The sequence below is a fragment of the Homo sapiens genome, chromosome 4, assembly GCF_000001405.40.
Source record: "Homo sapiens chromosome 4, GRCh38.p14 Primary Assembly".
NCBI classification, from domain to species: domain Eukaryota; kingdom Metazoa; phylum Chordata; class Mammalia; order Primates; family Hominidae; genus Homo; species Homo sapiens.
Genome location: NC_000004.12, coordinates 134979351 through 135003370, shown reverse-complemented (window position 1 = coordinate 135003370; position 24020 = coordinate 134979351).

Sequence of the window (24020 nt, the reverse complement as noted above, 5' to 3'; positions counted from 1 at the left end):
TTTTAGTCATTTGACCTGATAATTTTTCTTATAAAGAAGGTAGAAAAATAACTGCCTTACCATTCTCACAGGGTTTCTGTAACAACCAACTGAAATAATAAATATATATGTGTACTTGATACCCAATGTATATTTATTAAACATAATAATACCTTGTATAGAAATTTTAAATTATAAACATAATTCAAATTATGTGTTCATTTGAATCCTAGGACAATAGGACAAAATTTCTCCTCCTCTTTGAGAATTTCTCACAGTCTCTTATTTACAATATTACTGATTTTCTTAATGTCTACTGCTCCTTCTAATTTGGATAATATGTATTGACATGTACCTTTTCTGTGTATAGGTAATCACAATAAATATTTTCTGAATTCTTTCTCATAAAAATGTTATTAGATACATATTCTCATATACATACATGTACACATATGAAAACTACATGTGTATAGGCATGTATGCAAAAATACATACGTATATATAAATTACCTGGATATTTTCTATTGAAATCATTTCTCTTTAAAAACAGCAATATTTCTAGATGTATGCTAACTTACTCGTCCTACTAGATAGGTTATAAGGTTTTTACAATTCTATGGTGTGCAATCCAGGTTAAACAAGTGATTATTGAATTTCTGTGATGAAAAGTGCTTACATGGTAATATACTTATTGACTCCATCTAAAACTGCAAGATGACTGTCCTTTATAACACTTACTGCATCAGAAAACCCACTACCTCCCTTTGGAGATGTTCACTGTGCTGCCTTTATGTAATATATAAATGTCAGGAATTTTTGGAAATGTGAAATAGAATAATGCAAACTGGCCTTTCAATGAGCTGCTACTTTTCTTTAAACATTCTAAAATAGTTTTTTTGCATGTGATTGTGCTTGAAATGATTATACTCCTAAGAATGGAATATATTTTATTTTCTTCCTTCTTTACAGTTTTCTTCTGTATCTGTGTACTTAAAAGTACCACTGCCATTAATAATTTGAAAATAATATTTCTAATATAAAACTTCTACTTCTAGACTTCAGTTATTACTTCATACCTTTTAAAATCAATTTCTACAGATTATAACTCAGAATAAACTTGAAAGAAGAATATAGAAATTCTCTTTTTTTAAACTTGCAGAATTTCGTGTTTCATGAATGATTGTCAGCTAGTTAATGCATTAAAGGATTATCCCTCATGGGTAGTTACTTAAACATTTTTTTCTTTAATTTGGTTTTACTCCTGAAAAAGATTATTTCCACATGAGATGTGTATATTTCATCCTCACCCTGCATAAAATTAGAGGTACCATTAGAGATGGATGAACTACTTTAAAGAAAATTAGCTTAAAACTAAGCTTTCTTCCAGAAAAGCAATACAATCTTAAATATTTTCTGAAAGAACAGGCAAATAAATTCAGATAGCAATGTTCATTCTTGAAACACATTATACAGGTTGGACCAGAGACAAGGATAAGATTCATCTGTCAACTGAAGATATGCAACACTCTTTCACTGACTATCTATCTGTGAACAAAGTTTTGCATAAAGTCTCCTTGCTTGGTTAGGACGAGGGAAATCACGTGAACTCTAATTAACGTAAAAGATTCAGACATATAAAGATCTTCTAATAGAAATAATTGGAGACATTGCAGGGATAGGCAATGATTCTATGAATAAGAGTCCGGGATTAAAAGCTTTTGTTAGCAATACAGCTCAAGAGTCTAAAGGGAAGTAATATGTATTGGTTTACCATATGTCAGTTACTTGGAACTTTAGAGGCCCAGAGATACTGGAAATTCATGTGGATTTAGAAAATGCATTTTCCTTAAAAAAAAAAAAAAAAGAAAAAAGGAAGAAAGGAAAAAGAAAAAAATAAAGAGAGAAAAAGTATTGGTTAAAATGAGGTAATTTTCATTGATGTGTTTCTGCAGGTTCCAGGCAAAACTTCTATGACTCTTCATATAGAATAGATTACAACATCCTTTTACCATTTAATTGAGTACAACACAGACGGAAGGGAAGTTATTCTCCTCACTTTGCAAGAGTGTTGTTAAGCAAAGCATCAGAAATCTGCAGCTCAGCTTATCTGTAGCCTGAAATAAAATTTAGTTTGCAGTGGCAGATCTGTGGTACCATCAAGTCTGCTTGCTCCTGTAGTGTCCCAGCTGAGCTAGCAGGGATGTCTGCAGATTTCATGCATGATGCGTGGTAGAGGAAAATAAAGGGCAGCAGGAGAGGGAAATGGGAATTCAGCAAAGCAGTGCGGAAAAAAGTGAATTTTTCCTTGGGTAGCCCCTCTACTACATAGGAATAGGAAACTTGGCAAATATCCAATATCTAGGGTCAACAGATAGGGGAAAAGAGGTACAGCAGTTCAAGGAGTCATATTAATGTGACTGTATTTATACTCATTCACTTCTAAAGCCTCAGTCATTTGAAATATATTCCTTTATACTTCCAAACATCTTTATTTCAAAGATTATAAAATTAAAATGTATAATAATTTTTTAAAATTATTCTTTATGTGATGTATAAAAATCTTGGCATCTCTTTATCACAAAAGCACTTCAAAGAATATATATGCTTAATACAAATAAATGTGGTAATATGTAGCTACAAAAAGTATAAATAAAAATACCTGGATAAATTTATTTGATTCTGTAACAATACTATATTATATAACAACAAATATTTTGACTATTTTAACATTAATAATTATTAGTATTATTTATTAATTATATAAATTATTAATATTATTAGCACTATTACTCATTTCTTGCTCATAATAAGGTCCATGAAGATGATAGTGACTGGAATATATCTTTCTATTGAATTACTCAGGGACCCAGACTCATTCAGATCTCCCAAATGCTCTGTCTTCAGCAAGTAGAGAGACAAAGAAATCATACAAAAGGCACTTGTTTTATAAGACCTAAGACTTGGAAATGTTACATAGTTTACCTATACACATCTTTGTTGAGAACTAGATTCTCCATACATAAGAGACAAAGAGATGTTATGCCTTGCTAAGGGCAAACAATTATATATATGCCAGTAAGAAAATGAATCTTTGTGGATAGCTGATCCTCTGTAGTACAAACTGTATAGTGTTTATAATATATAAGATATTTTGACATATACTGTTTCATTTAATCCTTAAAGTAAGACTGAAACAGGTTAAAAGAGGATAAAATTTCGGATTCACATAGCTAGGGAAGAGTGAGGCTAGGGCTAAATTTTAGTAATTAGAGCCCACAATTCAGTGTATATTTCTATAACAGATATCTATGTAACTTAATTCGGTGAAATTCTTATGAAGTACCTAGATTATTTTTCTTCCTGGCATACCTATCCTTTATATAAACCATAATTTTATTATGTTTAATCTCCAAATTTCAAATAACACGCATTTTTACATTATTGCTTTGTATTTAAAAGCTAATGGAATTAAGCTAATTAACACTTCTCCAACTCATTATAAGGCATGCTAATTAGAATATGCCATTTATTGTTTTATAAGGTGTTTCAAACTAATAGGTAAAAATAAGAGGGGCATAGACATTTTAATTTCTTTATTAAGTATTTGGCTCTAGCTCAATCCGTGCCTAAATTTAACATATACATGTCACTAACTTACAAGCTTGTGATAACTATATAACATATCGATTGATTACTGATCTCTTTTAGCCATCGTCTAAATATAAACTACCCATTCTCCTGAATTGTATTAAAGCATATTATGTGGTTTGTGATGTGAGAAAGTGGGAAAAGCCTACTATGAAAACTGTTTGTTTTGAAAATCTAATTAGGTTTCAAATCTAGCTTTAATAAGCTTCCAATGCTTGAGTTGAATATAAAACATGAAAAATATGAAAAATATTTTCTACTCAACTCAAGCATTGAAAGCTTATTAAAGCTAGATTTGAAGCCTAATGCCTACAAAAGCACTTACTTCCCTCTGACAGTATCTTGCCTTCTCTTCCAGCTGTCTCTCGAAGCCCTTTCTTGTGTTATTATAACACTTCAAGATGACACTGTCAATTATTCTTAATCTGTCGTCTATTATTAGTCTCTGCAAAATTCAGAATCCCAGCAGATCTTAGTCTCATCTATCATATTGCCATGAAGAAGAAGTCTTTCCTTATAAGTAGAACAATTCTCATCCATAAATTTAAGATGTGGGTATAAAAAACACTTTAAAAAGCAACATTGTGCCTTCCTGTGTTACAAATTCAAATAAACATTTAGACCTTAGAACACCTATTCTTTAAGTAATTCTGCTGGATACTGAGCAGCTAAAAAATCATAAAATTATCATTGAATATTTTCAGCGTGTAGTGTCTTGGATAAGTATATACTCATTCAAAGAAATGGAAGACATAGTCAATGGCCTCAAAGAGGTTATATCCAGGGAGGATGGCGGAGTCAGTGGGCATTACATGCTCACTCAGTCTTATTGCTTGTATTGAAAATATGTTACCAGTGGAATTCAGTGTATGCTATATTTAGGGATATGGTGAATGATACTCCATAGTGAGCCCGTTTATTCTATGAAGGACCCTTAATAAACCAGAGGTTTTCCCCTGATAAACTGTGGCATATATACTCGAAGGTATTACAACTTTTCTTAGGGGAGCCCAAAGAGGTCCTGAATATCCCTCCTACATACCTTGATTATATTATATTCCCCTTAGCTCCCTTTCCCACTTGGCAAGCCGGAAAATGAGAAGATTCATTTAAAGCATAGCCAGCGGAATAAGGGATTTGAATTTCAGCAATATTTGCAGTGTGCTCAGATTCAATCACTCCAATGGACAGGACAGAAAAGAACAAACTAGCAGATCCTCTGATATTCACCTTTAGAATGAAAAAATATATAGAGATTATGTATAGTTTGATGCCGGTTTTCTCCCCTCTATTTAGTGTCTTTATTATATTTGAAATGTTCTAATATTCTAGCCAGTGCTTCAATACTCATATTTCGATGGAGTTAGAGGTGCTTTTAATTACAAAGGGTTCCCATCATGTACATGAGAATTCAATGCTCTGTTTGACTCACCCAAGCCTTTACTATAGGGAAATATTAGCTTTCTATAGCTGCTGTAACAAATTACTAAATCACTACTTAGTGGCTGCAAAAAACTCCAAATTATTTGCTTACAATTCTGTAGTTAGGAAATTCAAATGTTTCTCACTGGGCTAAGATGAAGGTGTTAGCAGGGGTGTGTTTCTTTCTGCAGCTTCTAAAAGTTACCGACATTGCATGGCTCTTGGCACTTCCCAACTTCAGAGCCCTCAGAGGCCTGTGTCTTTCTCACATGACATTACATCACTCCATCTCGGAATCTTCTACCTCCCTTTTTCAGATTAAAGGATCCTGTGATTACATTGGGCCTACCTGGATAATTCAGGATAATCTCTTTCTCCTAAAATCAGCTGATCAGCAACACTAATTATATCTGCAACCTTAATTCTCATTTCTATGTAATCTAACATATTCAGATTCCAGGGATTAGGATGTAGACATCTCTGGGAGGCATTATCCTGCCTTCCACATCAAGTAGCCTAATACCACAGGCACTTCAGTCTGTTGTCATAGTATGTATAACCAGGCCTTGCCGCTAATGTCCTATCATTTCCATTGCCTCTTTGAGGGCAATATGCCCAGCTAAAGACATGTGTGCCAAGAGTTTCAATTAGTGCAGGCATTCAGGATCTGGCCTACTATTTGCTGTCTAATCTCCAACAGAGATATAAAATTGGTACCACTTCTCAAAACCCGGACTTCCGTGAGAATCCTAGGATAATAATCTCAGCTTTTCTTAATACAAATCATCAGGTATCATGTACGTAGCCCAAGTCTGATGTAGGGTTATCTAGCCCCCATAGGAACCCTCCCCCTTTCCTGGGAAACAAAGTCCAAATGCAAAAGAGGACATGGGGTGCCATCAGTCACCTCCTATAAATAAGAGGTGAGATATTATACTTGACCCTACTTATTCACAAACCCATTCTTACCAGCCCTGCTAACTCTACCATATAAGCCAGGTCATACCACACAGAGAAATCTCAATTTAAAGATTTTTATTTGATTTTCTATCAGACCAGTAAATAAGCAATTTGAAATATTAAAAACAAGGGTAATATGAGTAACTGTGGTTCCCAAATGCCTCCTCATTTCAAGGGAAACGTATCTAAATGTAAGTCTTCATGGTTGGGAACGGGGCTAGGTATAGGGAGGGGTACAGTAGCTCTTAAGAGCCTATTGACTATCATATATTTTACAGCACAAGTCTCATATTCCATATTTGTCCTGGTCAAGTGCTACCACATTTAAATGTTCCATTTTGCTAACTTTAGAATTATTTACTTTTTTTTCTATTTTATCAACAAATATTATCCCTTCTTCAGGTGTTTTCAAAAGGGAGCTGTAAAATTTTTTCCTGCCCTTATCTTTCTTGTATATGTTTATCAGACATAGGGCACTGTATTCTGCCTCATAATATTTTAGTAGATTTTTACATGTATCAACTTAACAAAATATTCAATACATGACAAAATAATGACTTTAAATTCACTAGTATTAAATACTTTATTATTAAATACAGAACACAGACTATTTTATTATTATAATTGATACAGATATGTACTCTGAACACATACACAAGTCTGAGAAACTGGTAATCTTTTATGTGGCATATTAACAAGTATCAAAACAAAAGTTCTTTGAGCAAATAGTCTAAGAAAGTAATGGGTTAAAAAACAGGTTCAAATGTGCACATGTGTCTATGTTGTTTGTATGTGCATATGCAGATGACTTACAGTCCAAATGTGTTACATGGATCTCTACTGGGATACATGCAATATAGTGATAACAAAGGTAACTTAACTAAGGATGATACTTTTAGAAGAAAAATTCAGAGGAATATATTCAGTGAAACAAAATTGTGTTTATCTACTTTAAACAATCTCGGTTTTCCCTTTCACATTCTTTCTTTTATGTCTACGGTGTAATTCTCTTTAGAAATGAAAATGTACAATGACAATTCTTGCATTGTTTCTTTTTTATTTTGTGTGTCTCGGTTTTTTTGTGGTATATGATTGAGTTTTCTGCTTAAATTTTTACGGAAGTTGTAATGAGTTAATTGATAATTGCATCATTAGTTTACCTTTAATAATTTATATATCTAACATATTGTTTAAACCATTTTAATTATTGTTTTGTTTCTCAACAAATAAATAGAAATTATTTTATTATTATCATTATTATACTTAAAAGAATACAAAGAAAATAAGAAGATTATGCATAGCAACTTCTATCTGTAACAAAGAGGCTTAAATTTAGCTTATGTTACTATGCAATGATTTGCAAGTGAAAACTGTGAAAATGTTACTATGTCAAGCTTCTTAGGAGGATCTCGATCTTGCAGACTTTTGCTGAAATTAATGTTTTGGTAAGAACATTTTCTTAAATATGTATTTGATAGTCAGTACACAGTGTTTGAACAATGTGTATATATGCTATTCTGTTTTCCCAGGTAGTTATGGGAAAACCTTTCGCAGGCCTTTCAAATGACAAGCCTAGGGTTCCTTCTCAGGCTGCTGTATTCCCTAAGCTTTCCTTTCTTTCTTCTGCAGGAGCTGACCCTGGTTTGCTCTCCTTCCAAAGCCATTTTATTTTACTCTATTTTTTATTTATTTGTTTTTTTCTTCCTGCTCAACAGTTTCAGACCAAGTAGTAACACATTTTCTTAATTTTCATTTTCTGTGATGCACCTAAAGATAAAAACAAAAGAACCACAAAGGGCAAAAATAGCCATAGCAACACAAAGCTGACAGATTTTCTTGTAACATTGTCAAAAAACTGACAGATTTCTATTTTTTTTTCTTCAAAGTCTGAATCTCCAGCAGTTTATTGTGAAGATACTATTTTTGAACAAAAAAAGACATGGACATTTACATGACGAAATGTTGACAAATGATGTGGTTTTGAATTCGATCCTAATTTGTCAGTCCTATTTAGCCTTTCTCAAATGAACTTCATCATCTATAAATGGTTTTTGTCGTAAATTGACTTTATTCTATGCAATTTAAAAAGTATTTATTAAATATGATCTCCACATTGTAAGGTACTACAAGCATACAAACATTACTCATATGCAGAGAAAAGCATTCGAGCCACAGTGCCTATCTGTCACTGGACCATTCCAGGCATCCTCATAATAAAGTGACAATAGAACTTGTGGGCCTTGAAAATAATACTTAATAGGATTGCTTCTCTGGCAAGAAACCATTCATGCTTATATTAACTTTCTAAATCTAAATTGAATGATTTCCAAAAGATTGTCTTTTAGTTTTTGTTGTTCCTTAATATCCTGCATTTTAAAATGTAGCAGTAATGTGATACTGGATATTCTAAGTTGTGTGCTTGTGTATGTGTGTGCTTATGTCATGGTATGGGGTTGAAGAGTAACTAGGCTTTGACCAAGTAGGTATTAAGGAATCAAGAACATCCATCAGTTTTTAAGTGACATGATATGCTTGTCCCTCTAGATAGTATAAAATCCAGAAAAAAATCTTGCTTTTATTTATTTATTTATTTATTTTGATTACACTTTACGTTCTAAGATACATGTGCAGAATGTGCAGGTTTGTTACATAGGTATACATGTGCCATGGTGGTTTGCTGCACCCATCAACCCGTCATCTACATTAGGTATTTCTCTGAATGCTATCCCTCCCCTACCACCCCACCCCTTGACAGGTCCCCATGTGTGATGTTCCCCTCCCTGTGTCCATGTGTTCTCACTGTTCAACTTCTACTTATGAATGAGAACATGCAGTGTTTGGTTTTCTGTTTGTGTTAGTTTACTGAGAATGATGGTTTACAGTTTCATCCATGTCCCTGCAAAGGACATGAACTCATCCTTTTTTGTGACTGCATTGTATTCCATGGTGTATATGTGCCTCATTTTCTTTATCCAGTCTTTCATTGATGGGCATTTGGGTTGGTTCCAACTCTTTGCTATTGTGAACAGTGCCACAATAAACATATGTGTGCATGTGTCTTTACAGTAGAATGATTTATAATCCTTTGGGTATATACCAAGTAATGGGATTACTGGGTCAAATGGTATTTCTGGTTCTAGATCCTTGAGGAATCACCACACTGTCTTCCAAAATAGTTGAACTAATTTACACTCCCACCAACAGTGTAAAAGCATTCCTATTTCTCCACATCCTCTTTAGCATCTGTTGTTTCCTGACTTTTTAATAATTGCCATTCTAACTGGCATGAGATGGTATCTCATTGCAGTTTTGATTTGAATTTCTCTAATGACCAGTGATGATGAGCTTTTTTTCACGTTTGTTGGCTGCATAAATGTTTTCTTCTGAAAAGTGTCTGTTCATATCCTTTGCCCATTTTTTGATGAGGTTTTTTTTCTCTTGTAAATTTGTTTAAGTTCTCCATAGATTCTGGATATTAGCCCTTTGTCAGATGGATAGATTGCAAAAATTTTCTCCCATTCTATAGGTTGCCTGGTCACTCTGATAATTGTTTCTTTTGCTGTGCAGAAGCTCTTTAGTTTAATTAGATCCATTTGTCTATTTTGGCTTTGGTTGCCATTGCTTTTGGTGTTTCAGTCATTAAGACTTTGCCCATGCCTTAAGTAGTGGTTCCTTCTCCACATTTTCATTCTGAAATGGTAATTCAAAGCAATGATTTGAAAGTTCAACATCTTAAAACAATTGTATTTTGATTAATTTTAGTCACATCATGAGTTTGCCTGAGTCACTTGAAAAGCAGAAGCCAAAACCAGATTAACCTTGCAAGAGATATATTAGGGACAAAGACTGTATGGAAAGATGAAATAGTTGGAGAAGGGCAAGAGAGCCATCAGCTCTTGATACAGTTTTGACTCATGTTAAAGGAAAAATGGAAGGAAGAAAGACTGAGTAGAAGCATCTTAGATTGCATTGCAGTTCTACAAGTTCAACATGGCCTTTACAGAGATCTTGAAACAAAGTCATCCAACAGCAGAAGATTCCAGTGTCTCCTAGAAATGAGTGTGCATTAGTATCTTTGTCATGCTCACTCATTAGCTGGGAATAGTGAGAAGGATGGTCTTAAGGAAAAATATCTAATAGGTTTCATTGCTCAGTGACTGTGGCCTATGCTCAATTATGTTCCCTGCAATTACTGATTAGAGAATGGATTCTAATGGCCATCACACATCATATAACTCTCAACATTTATATAAATGTTTCTGTTACTGGAAGTAGTTGATCTTTCTCCTAACTATACCTATATTATCTTACAGTCATTCCATATAATTCCACCAACACTTGGAATATCAGTTAATGAAACACTTTTGAGGTCTTAAGAGAATTAGAAATAAGCAATGGTAAGCATGACTCAGAAGTAATTTGCCAATTTTTGTTGTTACTTTCTCTGACCCTTTTCATCTCATGAGCATGCTGCAATTAGGTTGTGCAATGAGATCTTCTTTTTAGCAGTCTTGGGCACTGTTTATAAATATAGGCATATTAGTCTTAAATTTACCATTTTTAAGCTATTTTGAAACATCACACTATGAATTTGTTTTAATGTATATATACTCTAGGCACTTTTTCTTCACATCTACCTGACTTGTTTTTTTTTTTGGACGGAGCCTCACTCTGTCACCCAGACTGGAGTGCAATGGTGCTATCTCAGCTCACTGCAATCTCCACCTCCCAGGTTCAAGCGATTCTCCTGCTTCAGCCTCCCGAGTAGCTGGGACTACAGGCACATGCCACCATGCCTGGCTAATTTTTGTATTTGTAGTAGAGACGGGGTTTCACTATGTTGACCAGGCTGGTCTCGAACTCCTGACCTCGTGATCCGCTTGTCTCGGCCTCACAAAGTGCTGAGATTACAGGCGTGAGCCACCATGCCCAGTCCTACTTGATGTTTTTATAATTCCTTTTTATTTCAATATCTGCCTAGATACATATTTAATAAAAATACAGTTTAGTATAACAACACATAAAAATATTTTGCATGTTAATCACAGTTGTTATCTACTTCTTAAAGGAACCAAATAAATACATAATGTGACTAAAATTCATCAAACAAAAATTTGCATGTTTTTCAGACCTTCAACTTTCCAATAATTGCTTCAAAATACCATTTCAAAATAAAGCTTATAGCATCACATGGTAATGTCTACTTTCTTTGTTTGTTATTATTATTATTTTTATTATACTTTAAGTTCTAGGGTACATGTGCACAACGTGCAGGTTTGTTACATATGTATACATGTGCCATGTTGGTGTGCTGCACCCATTAACCCATCATGTTTAATGTCTACTTTCAAGATGATATATTGGCAAACACTGATTCCACTATGGCTAATTTTACTAATGCTAATATGCTTCCACCACTGGAGGCAGGACTTGGTTCTTTTTTATCTCTTTATCCTAGTCTCTATTTTCGAATTCTTAGACAAACAGATTCTTAGATTTTCAAAAAAGGATTGTTGGTCAAATGAGGAATGTAACAAAGTTCCGAAAATATACATGAAGAGATTTTGCAATAAAGGTATTTTAAAATGTGAATTCGAAAAATATACATAGAATGTAGATGAGACTGAGAATACTAAATTAAAGTGATGGAAAACCTTAGTTATTAAAAATCTTAAATGAATCCTTCCAAACAGTGATTCTGTGTTTTCTCAAAAACAAAGAATATTGGATCTAGATTTACAGGAATTTCAAAAGAATATTATGAGACGGAGAAGAAAAGACTGTTACAGGTTTTGTCCTTTGACTACAATTTAAAAAAAATCCTTTACTCAATTCCTTTAAGAATAACCTTGGGAAAGACAACATTGTGAGTCAGTGGATCAGAAACTATAGGAGGTGAATATAGTCATATGACTACTAAGGTGGCAATGGCCTAACCTTTCCAAGGCCTTCAAGCTATGAGTGAAGGGTTTTAAATTGCATTCAAAATTGTATTATTTGGTATAGGGATGGAAACCATCAACTCAAAAAGGATTTTTTTTTCTTTTGTCTTCTTTTCTGTTCTTCTCACCTTAGCACCCTCTGGGATTGGTCAAAGAAGTATCAAAATATCTGGAATCATTCATCTGGCTTCATGCTTTCTGAGCTACTATATAAACAAAAAAAATCAATAAAGGTGTTATCTGCTTCTTGTAACTATGTTTTGCAGTTTTTCAGTGTTTTTTTTGTTTGTTTATTTTTGCTTTTGTTTTTTTTTTTTCTCTTTTGGTCTCCAGGGATCATATAGCACTTGGAAGCCTGGTCTTCCAACGAATTTCCGTTTGTTCCCAGTTACTTGTAAGCTAATTCTTTTTATATTTAAAACCTACCAATTTTTGAATTCCTAAATGTATTTAGGTATAAAAAGTTTTTCATCATTTTGTACGTGGTACTTATTGGAATAAGCCATAAAAATTGGATGATTTTTAGATATGGGGTTTGGGGTTAATATGTAGCAAATATGCATGATGCAAGAGAAATGATGTATTTTACACATTTAATTTATACAATTGAAAGTTTTGGTGCCTAAAAAAAGTTGAGCACATGTTTTATCATCAACTTTCTAAAGCATGCATTGATTGCCTTTTTCATTGTTTTTATTACCTTTAGGGAAAAAATATTGCTATTTAATTTGTGATTTTTTAAGGATCAATTAAGATAAATCGTTTTACTCTTTTCTAGTCACATTTAATCATATTCTCTCAGAACCAGATATGTAAAAATGTATCAGTTATATTTGATTTGTTGTTCTTCACCACAGTTATACCCTACATATAGTACTCAACAGGCAACCCAATCTTAATTATTCAAAGCTTCTTTTGTTAGTTACAATACTTCACTAAAATTATATTGCACTGAAATTATACAACACTGCAATGAAATTAAAACATACAGTATTATAATTTTTTCAACCCTTCATCTTCTAATATAATCAAAGTGGAAATAAAAAGGTGTTGGCATAATCTCTCTAAAGATCTGTGATGGTGATGTTCTCTGCTCATTTTCTACAGTTATATACAGTTGTGATTTTATCACCAATCATAGTTGATTGACATCAGAAAGAGTACTGTATGAATGACTGAATAGTCCATTTTTCTCTCCATGGTCTTGGTTCCTTGTTGAAAAGTACCTTCATTATCTCCAAAGTGTTTCTCAAACCTGTTGTAACCTCATAGTCACTGCTTTTTCCTTTGTTTACTTTCCCTCAACATTTGTTTTGAATTGCTAGCTTATGGTTTCTCTTGACTTACCAAATAATATTAATCTCGTCATTTCTTTCTCTGAAAATCTCAAGTGCTTTAAAGCCAGTAGGGAAATTTTAAACTTTTCATTATGGACTACTAAGCCTTTCACAATCTCTGGTCTACCTACATTTTAATCCCCTAGTAGTCTGAAATACATCTTACCTTCATCCTTTTAAACAGATGCAATACTGATCAGCAGAAAAAAAAGTATTGTTCAAGTTTTATAGGTAAGTAAGTAGATTCAATATGATTAAGAAACTGATTTAGCTTTATTATCCATAGCTAATAACTGGTAGAAATATGATTTGTTTTCAACATTTCTTTAGTGTTCTTTCCACTATTCTATACCCACCCTCATATATGTTGGTTAATTGTAAATTTAAGAGCCTATGAGTGCTATTTAAAATCTAATGAATGAATAAATTGAATTCCATTTTATTCATGCTTACTGGTGATTAACACATTGGTTAATTTTAGTATCTAAAAAGTGTTCTGTAACACCATACATACTCTTCATTATTATTCAGTTTAAACACTTGTTACTGTCATTTTTCTTGTATTTTCCCACTATCTGAATGTCTACATCTACTGGTCTAGTCTCATGCATGACTCTTCAGTATAGGATTAAACCTGTTTTATTTCAGTATTTTGATATGTGTTCAAGTGGCAAGCATTTAAAACAAATGCAAAAATTACATCCAAATTTAGTCATTTTTGAATAAAAACTTGTATTAGTCCATTTTCACACTGCTGATAATGACATACCTGAGACTGAGCAATTTCAAAAGAAGGAGGTTCAATGGACTTACAATTCCAAGTGGCTTGGGAGGCCTCACAATCATGGTGAAAGATGAAAGGTATGTCTCACATGGCAGCAGACAAGAGAAGAGAGCTTGTGCAGGGAAACTCTGCCTTATAAAACTATCAGATCTCATGAGACTTATACACTATCATGAGAACAGCACAAGAAAGACCTGCTCCCATGATTCAATTATCTCCCACCGGGTCCCTCCCACAACATGCAGCAATTCAAGATGAGATTTGGGTGAGGACACAGCCAAACCATATCATTCCAGCACTGGCTCCTCCCAAATCTTATGTCCTCACATTTCAAAACCAATCATGTCTTCCTAACAGTCCCCCAAAGTCTTAACTCATTTCAACATTAACTCAGAAGTCTACAGTCAAATTTTTCATCTGAGATAAGGCAAGTCCCTTCCACTTACAAGCCTGTAAAATCAAAAGCAAGTTAGTTACTTTCTAGATACAATGGGGGTACAGGCATTAGGTAAATACAGCCATTACAAATGGGAGAAATTGGTCAAAACAAAGGGATTACAGGACCCATGCAAGTCCAAAAATCCAGCAGGGCAGTCAGTTCTTAAAGCTCCAAAATGATCTCCTTTGACTCCATGTCTCATTTCCAGGTTGCCAAGATGCAAGAAGTGGGTTCCCATGGTTTTTGGCAGCTCTACTTCTTTGGCTTTTTAGGATTCAACCTCCATCCCGGCTGCTTTCAGGAGCTGGCATTTAGTGTCTGTGGCTTTTTCAGGTGCAAGGTGCAAGCTGTTGGTGGATCTACCATTCTGGGGTCTGGAGGATAGTAGATCCCTTCTCACAGCTTCACTAGGCCACTAGTGCTCCAGTAAGCACTCTGTGTGGGGCCTTCAACCCCACATTTCCCTTTCACACTGCCATAGCAGAGGTTCTCCATGAGTGCCCCATTCCTGCAGCAAACTTCTGCCTGGACATCCAGGCTTTCCCACACAACCTCAGAAATCTAGGTGGAGGTTACCAAATCTCAATTATTGACTTCTGTGTACTTGCAGTCTCAACACCACATGAAAGCTGCCAAGGGTTGAGGCTTGCACCCTCTGAAGCCATGTCCTGAGCTCTATGTTAGCCTCTTTCAGCCACAACTGGAGCAGCTGGGACCCAGGGCATCAAGTCCCTAGGCTGTACACAGCACAAAGACCATGAGCCTGGCCCATGAAACAAGTTTTCTCTTCTAGGTGTCAGGGCCTGGAATGGATGGGGCTGCTATTAAGACCTCTGACATGCCCTGGAGACATTTTCCCCATTGTCTTTGGGATTAATATTTGGCTTCTCATTACTTATACAAATCTCTGCAGCCAGCTTGAATTTTTCCTTGGTAAGCGGGATTTCCTTTTTTATCACATTGTCAGGCTGAAAATTTTCCAAAGTTTTATGCTCTTCTTCCTTTATAAAACTTAATGCCTTTAATAGCACACAAGTCACCTCTTGAATGTTTTGCTGCTTAGAAATTTCTTCTGCCAGATATCCTAAATCATTTCTTTCAAGTTCAAAGTTCCACAAATCTCAAGGGCAGGGAAAAGGGCAGGGAAAAATTGCAGCCAGTCTCTTTGCTAAAACATTAACAAGAGTCATGTTTTCTCTAGTTCCCAACGAGTTCCTCATTTCCATCTGAGACCACCTCAGCGTGGACTTTATTGTTCATATTGCTATCAGCATTTTGGGCAAAACCATTCAACAAGTCTCTAGGAAGTTCCAAACTTTCCCACATTTTCCTATTTTCTTCTGAGCCCTCCAAACTCTTCCAACTCCTCCCTGTTACTGAGTTCCAAAGTCGCTTTTACATTTTCGGGTATCTACAGCAGCAGCCCACTCTACTGGTAACAATTTACTGTGTTAGTCTGTTTTTACACCGCTAATAAAGACATACCTGAGACTGGGCAATTTACAAAAGAAAGAGGTTTAATAGACTTACAGTTCCACCTGGCTGGGGAGGCCTCACAATCCTGGCAGAAGGTGAAAGGCACGTCTTGCATGGCAGCAGACAAGAGAAAGGAGTTTGTGCAGGGAAACTCCGCCTTATAAAACCATCAAATCTCATGAGGCTTATTCACTATCACAAGAACAGCATGGGAAAGATCTGCCCCTATAATTCAATTACCTATCACTGGGTCCCCCCTGACAACATGTGGGAATTCGAGATGAGATTTGGGTGGAGACACAGACATAACATTTTTGGGTCTAATCGTATTAAGCAGCCAACTCCAGAAATCCCAAAACCAGTGAAAAAACTTCATCCTTAATATTCTGTTCCTCTAGAACCATCCCACTCTGGTACCAAATTCTGTATTAGTCAGGGTTCTTTAGAGGGACAGAGCTAATAGGATAGATGTATATATGAAGGAGAGTTTATTAAGAAGTATTAACTCACATGATCACAAGGTGCTGCAATAACACATCTACAAGCTGAAAAGCAAGGAAGCCAGCCCAAGTCCCAAAGCTGAAGAACTTGGAGTTTGATGTTTGAGGGCAGGAAGCATCCAGCACAGGAGAAAGCAGTTGGCTGGGAGGGTAAGCCAGTCTATTCTCTCCATATTCTTCTGCCTGCTTTTATTCTGGCCATGCTGGCAGCTGATTAGACTGTACCACCAAGATTGAGGGTGGGTCTGCATTTCCCAGTCAACTGACTCAAATGTTAATCTTCTTTGGCAACACCCTCACAGACACAGTACACATCCAGGAACAATACTTTGTATCCTTCATTCCAATCAAGTTGACACCCAGTATTAACCATCACAGAAGTGTGTCACTTCAAAATGTCTTATGAAAAGTGCTGAAATATTTCTATGTAAAAATATAATCAAATCAAATTTCCATTCCCTGTCTTCTAACCAGTAAACTTGTGTGTCTTTATGTGCAGACTAATGTAGCAAACTAATTTATGATAAACACATAAATTGAATAAAGCTCAGAAAATTAAACAACAACCTATTTGGGAAAATTTGTCAGCAGTCATTAGCTCAACTGCACAATACAGAGTATTGAAAATTGTTTTAAAATTAATATTTCAAAATGAACAGTAATGATAATCAACAATTTCAGGCATTGTTTTTATTTCTATAAATAAATAAATAGGTCAATAAATAAATTCTTATAAATAAAACTGCCCAATGAATAAATACTTGAATTCCACCAAGGTATTCAAAATGGCATAAATCTTCCTTCATCTGGTTAAGCTGTCAATGTTTAAACAAGCACACCTACACACTCCCATGTATATGAGCACACACACATACACACACATTTACACACATTTTTCAACAGAGAACCAGTAACCAAAATCACCTAATAGCTTTAAAACATAGAGTTTAAATGTCTAATGTTGTTTTCTCTGTACTCTAGGTATGCTAGATATAACTACCTCCTCAATATTATCAGATAGTTTTGGCATAAATACATATTATTGATGTATGTTTTTTAATTGTTATAAAATAGGCAGATTTTCTTTTTTTAATCAGTTTTGCTAAATTTATCTTTCTCCAATTAGAGAGCAGTTCTAGGCTTTGTTGATCGTCTCAAGCATACATATATTTTCCTTGTATTAATGCCCGACTTTGTCTTAATCCCTTTATCTTTCTTTGTTTTTTTATTGTTAATTTTTAAAATTGTAAGTTATGTATTTATCTCATTTTTTATTTTTTATTTTCTAGTATAGTTATTGAAGACTATAAAATTATTTCAAAGATCAATCAGTGTATTGGCTTAACAAAACTTTATATGTGTTTTTTTGTGTGTTACATTAAAATCTAAGGATGTATTTAAAGTTTCATTGTTATTTTTCTGAGTAATGAATTATTTATAAGTGTGATTTAAATTTTTAAATGGGTGAAAGCTTCAATTATCTTGACTTTCATATCTAAATTTTTAACTTGATATGTGATAAGATTCTTTGTGTGACACAGGTTACTGATACTTTATTATTGACATTTCAGTGTATTTGTGTGTTAGCTATGCTGCCTGTAAATGACATATAGCTGTCATTTAACTATATAATTTAGATCTTCTGGATGGAGTGAACAATATAGTTTTAAGTCTTTGTATCATGTCTTTTTGGTCTTTGTATGTATTCTTCTTTATTTCTCCTTTCTTTGGATTGATTTTTTTTCTTTATCTTTTTTAAACATTTTTGGAATGTAAATCCTTTAATTTTATGCTTTATTTTACAAGCTACTTGTGTTAGTTTTCTAGGACTGCCATTACAAAATACCACAGACTGGGTGACTTAAATGACAGAAAATTACATTTTCATACTCTAGGAGGCTGGAAGGCCAAGACCAAGATGACAGCAGGGTAGGTTTCTTCTGAGGCTGCTTTCTGGCTGTATTCTCATATCAGCTCACATCCACATCCCTGGTGTTTCTTTCTCTTCTTATAAGGACACCAGTCGTGTTGGATTAGGAGCCCAAATTTTATGACTTCACTTAACCTTAATTTTCTCTTTAAAGCAATATTTCCTGAAACAGTCACATTCTAAGGTACTGGGGGCTAGGGCTTCAGCATATACATTTTGGGCAGGGTACAATTCAGGTCATAACATTACCTGATCTACTGAGGAGGTGAAAAGAAATAAATTTCTTTTTTATCTGAACTATATGAATTTAGAATTTTAATTCCAATTACCTCCATTTTCCTATATCATATTTTTATATTTAAACTTAAATCCCCAAAGTTGTCATTTTTATAATCACTAACTTATGTCAACTTTCACTCATATTTACCAAAATGCTTATTAATTTATTTTTTAGTCTTTTTTGAGTCTTTTTTGAATCTTAGTTTTCTTCTCCTGGAAATAAATTATTGAGCACTTCTTACTAATTTATTTAAGATATTTTAGTAGAAACCTGTCTCATTATTTTAAAGAACAATGCCTTTTCAACTTGTTCTTAAAGAATGGTTAACCATAGTACAGTATTCTACATTAATATCTGTTGTCTATCAGAATGCTGAAGCTATTAATTTGTTGTTTTCTATTTCATTTTTGCTCTTGATAAGTTTGCTGTCATTTAAATTAAGATTTGTCCATTAGAATCTGTTCCCTCTGGATGTTCTTGAAGTCCTGCTACTGTCATTGATGATCTAAAGTTTCATTATGGTGTGTCTAGTTTTTAATTACACTTAATAGATTTTCTTGTACTTTACTATATTTGAGATTATTATCTCTAATAAATTATGAACCAGCTTAAGCTTTTATTTTATGAGTGTCCCTTTCCTTAATCTATTCTCTTTTACAATTTTGGGAATATTTAGGACAGAAATAATCATCCTCATCCTCTTCGTTAATGATTCAGAAATATTAATATTTTCTATCTCTTTGCCTTTTTGAGTTTGTCCTCTCTAATTTCTTCATTTGTCTTTTAATTCCCTCATAAACCATGCATAATCTATTGGTAATCAATTTATGTAGGTTTAATTTTAATCATAATATTTTTGAGTTTTGTTCTCTCTTTTTAAAAATCAATCTTGTCATTTTTATAGTATCATTTTATTTGGTCAAGTTTCAAATCTCCCTTTGAAAATTTTGTACCAGTTTTAGTCACACTTAATTTTATGTTCAGCCTTTGACAATTATAGTATATAAGAAAAGTCCTTAGAGATTGAATTCTGCTACTTATTGTTTCCACTGACTCTTGGTCCTGGGGACCTATGTGCTATGGTGCTTTATAGTATGTTCATGTTCACTTGAGGTCTATGTGATGCTCTTGCTGCCAGGCCTGATTTGAGAAAATGCTCCACTAAGGAGATCACATTTTGCTTCTCATAGCTGTCCTGATTCTCTATCAACCCGAGACCAATTAAACCTTTTTCTTAACTTTGCCTTTTCTGGATCAGTTGAAACCAAAACCTAGCAGAGAACAAAACATGGATTTTGAATGATCAAAATTCATATTTAAGAGGAGGCTTTGATTTTTCTCCCTAAAGCCCAAATAAAGACAGTGATTCTTTTTCTTTCTATTTTGCTGATGAAAAGATTTCTTCTAGCCATCTCATTGCTGGAGTGTGTAGGCATTTGATATCCTGGCTTTATATGTAAATCTCAGTTCTAGTTATTCAATTTATTTTGACCAGAGGCATCATCTGTCCCTGATGTTCTCATTAGAATCCATACCTCTGCATCATTTTAGTCTGAAAGCACTCTTTAAAAAAAGTTTTAATGCTAGCTTTTATAGCAGTCCCTTTTTTGTTCAAGGTCCAGGGGTCTCTTTATTTCCATGAAAGCATATAAGATGATATTTGTTATTCCATATACACAGTTTTTAGGTGTTTGTGATAGGTATCAATTTGAGTAGCTGATCTGTAATGTTAATTGAAATGTATTGAAGACGTATGATTTCTAGAAATTTTGGAGTTTTTTCCTTAGGGTAAAGCATTAATTTTTATATGTTGGGTGAAAAAAAAAACAGACTTTGAAGGTCTATAGACCTAATGATTTCTGTATTCTCTACAAATAAGTTATATTTCAAGTCATCTAATGAGACTGAGAAGAAAGGGATTATGAAGTGGGCTAGAAAATCAGGATACAAGTATGGTATGGCTGCTAAGAGAACTGGAGTTAGAAACCAATTGCCATTCATATTCATGAACCTGTTTGACTTTGAAACTAATGATTTGTTAAAATTATTAGTTTAAAATAAGTATCATTATTTTAAACTAACTTAAAATTATTTAAAATAATTTAATTATTTTAAACTATTATTTAAATTATATTTAAAACAAGTATTATTTGAAAAAATTAATATACATTTCAAAGTTGATATTTAGATTAATATCAAGTAGAAATGTACATAAAGCATAGGACTGATTTTAGTTCAGGATAATAATGGCCTTTAATATTTATGGAATAGTATACTATAATATTAATGTATAACTATTGGAATGCTAGTAGTATACCCTGCACTTCAACAATTATAGTAAATATTGTTAGCTAGTGAATCTTGAAAGAATTAATTTTCTAAATAAAACAATTTGATTATCTCAAAGCAGACAAATTTTAAAAATTGAAACATACCGACATTCAAAGGTCATAAGTACAAACTTTTTTACTAATATAAACAAATACACTGGCCGATATTTATGTATAAATATCATTAAGATACTGTTTTATCTGTAATATAAAACAAATGCCATTTTTCCTGATATAAAAGTAACACAGAATACACTTACCTAGTTCTGTCCAATTTAGTGAATGTACTCAAATTTAGCCATTAGAATTTGGCTAATATTTTTATACAATTAAAGTTGCCATTTCAAACATTCGTTAATAAGATAATTACTTTAAAAGACACGTATCAGGTAGTGTCTGTTAGTCCCTCAAGATCAGCTTAATATTTTGTTTCTATTATGGTTTCCAGAAAGTGAGATATATATATATATATATATACATATTTTCTTTTCTTTTCTTTTCTTTTTTTAATGAGATGGAGTCTCTCTCTGTCGCCCAGGCTGGAGTGCCCTGGCGCGATCTCGGCCCACTGCAAGCTCCGCCTCCAGGGTTCACGCCATTCTCCTGCCTCAGCCTCCAGAGTAGCTGGGACTACGGGCGCCCGCCACCACGCCCGGCTAAATTTTGTGTTTTTAGTAGAGGCGGGGTTTCACCGTGTTAGCCAGGATGTTCTCGATCTCCTGACCTGGTGATCTGCCCGCATCGGACTCCCAAAGTGCTGGGATTACAGGCGTGAAGTGAGCTATATTTTTATGTTGAGTTCCCTTGTCTTTGGGTAAAATTCGGATTCAGTTAATAAGGCATATTAGCAAGAAATTGGAGGGTGAGATATGAAAGGATCTGGTTATTTATTCTCCCGTCTTCCTCCCTTTGGGTTCACTGTGGGCTTCACTTACTCTTTGTGTGAGAAAAATGATTAGCCATTCATACAGCTTTCTCTCTCTTTGAGTTCCAGATACTATTTTTTCTTCAACCTTTTAGGCCTGGATATAGAAATGATACTCTACTGTATCTAGTCCTTTCCTATACACAATAGTCCTATTAACTCTTCTTAAATTATCCAGTCTAGTCATCCTACATTTCTTGTAATAATTCTGACAAGCTTTGTTTTTTCTTCTCTTCATTAATTTGTTTAAATATTGAACATTTTATGCATGTGAGTTGGGCATTTCTTAAATATAGATCCTAGGGTTATTATAATCTAGAACAAAAAACCATTATAATAACAATAATAAAACCATTAATAATAATAACATTAAATAAGACTCAGATATGTGCCAGTCACTCTTATAAGAGCTTTATTAGCCCAAATTCCCTGTTTCATGGATGTTAAACCCAAATCAGGGAAATATTTTATAACTACCCAAGGTCTCACAGTAAGCGATGAAATAAATGTATGCATGTATAGAGAAAAAGAAGAAGTAATCAGGACAAATGATATCTAACATAAAATAAAACGACTTCATATTTTACATGGATTTATGTTCTGATAATTCAGCCATTTATGTAAAAATTTTGTAACTCTTTAAACAAAACTCAAAATCTGAAGGTAAGTACCTTAAGTAAAGTTCTTTAAGTACTTTAAGAACTTTAAGTAAAGTTCAGATTTTTCTCAATACACCATTTTCCATTGTAAATACATTCTTCTTCATTGAACTTATAATATACACATTTATTTCCAATACAATAATATATAGCCTCCAAAAGCTCTCATTATCTCAAAGTAAATGTCTGCTGAGACTCATTTTTAGCTGTAGAAATGCTTCCCACCTGAGAAATACTGATTAAATCTATTGCAATTTTGCAAAATAAAGATTGTATTTCTCAATGTTTACCTCTGACTAGTTAGACATTCATCAGACAAATATTTTTAAGAGACATATTCTAGAAGTCCTTAGCCATATGAAATTAATACGATTTGGTATCTCTTTATCTCTATCTCAAGATTGTTCCCTCATCTTCCCCTTCACCCAAGGGAAAGACTATAGATCCACAGAACCTCTTTGCTGCCTATGCTGGACAGTATGTGGTTAACTCAGCACAACCTCTAGTCTCTTCCCATGTCTTCCAGAATGACTTTTTTCAATAAGACTCCAGGTTAGAGTTTGCCAGTGAGGTCCGAGTATATGAGATTTGAAAAACTGAAATGAAGTGAAAGTCTTTATTCTAAGGAGGTTGAAGTGGTGATCAGATTTAATGAATTCTCAGACTCAATTGAAGTGGCTCTAGTTTCCTGAAAAAAAAATTCAGACACTGACAATGTTACCAGAAATCATTTCAGGGTTGGGAATAAGGTTGGGGTTAAGATGCCACTTAAGGCTGACATTTGAAATGAGCTCTCTGATTTGATCAGCTTTAAAGTTATTAATGACCTCACTGCAATTCTTCGCACAAAAATAAACAGCTATTTTAAACCGCCGAGTTCTTCTCATAAGGATTACTTATGTGTCACTTGCTCTGCTTTGTACTATTTAACGAACTTTTATACTGTCCCCATAGATAGGATAGAGATCAGCACAAAGTTAAAGAAAAAAAAAAAAAGTCCTGTGTATGTTGTTCAGGAGCCATGGGGCAGAGGATACCTCACTAACACATGCATTATCACTTGGTTAGTAGCTGCCTTGCCAAAGGAATTATAACATTTATCTTGAGATGCTACAATGTGAAACATAGAAACAGAGAAAGCCAAAAGTCAAGGATCCATAAAAGTAGAAGCCAGACTAAGCAAAAGTTTTGGACAGAAGAAAGAAATGGTATGTAGTGGTTGAAGGAATAGGAAAAAAATAAATGTCAAGAAAAATTGAAACCACATTAAGCTGATTCATTACGCAAGGAAATTCAAGGCCAAATGGATACCTACTAATGAGGGAATGGCTGAACATTCCAATTGATATATTAGAACTGCTGTTGATCTACAATAGTTACTTTGTGTTGTAGATAGCCTAATTCTCCAT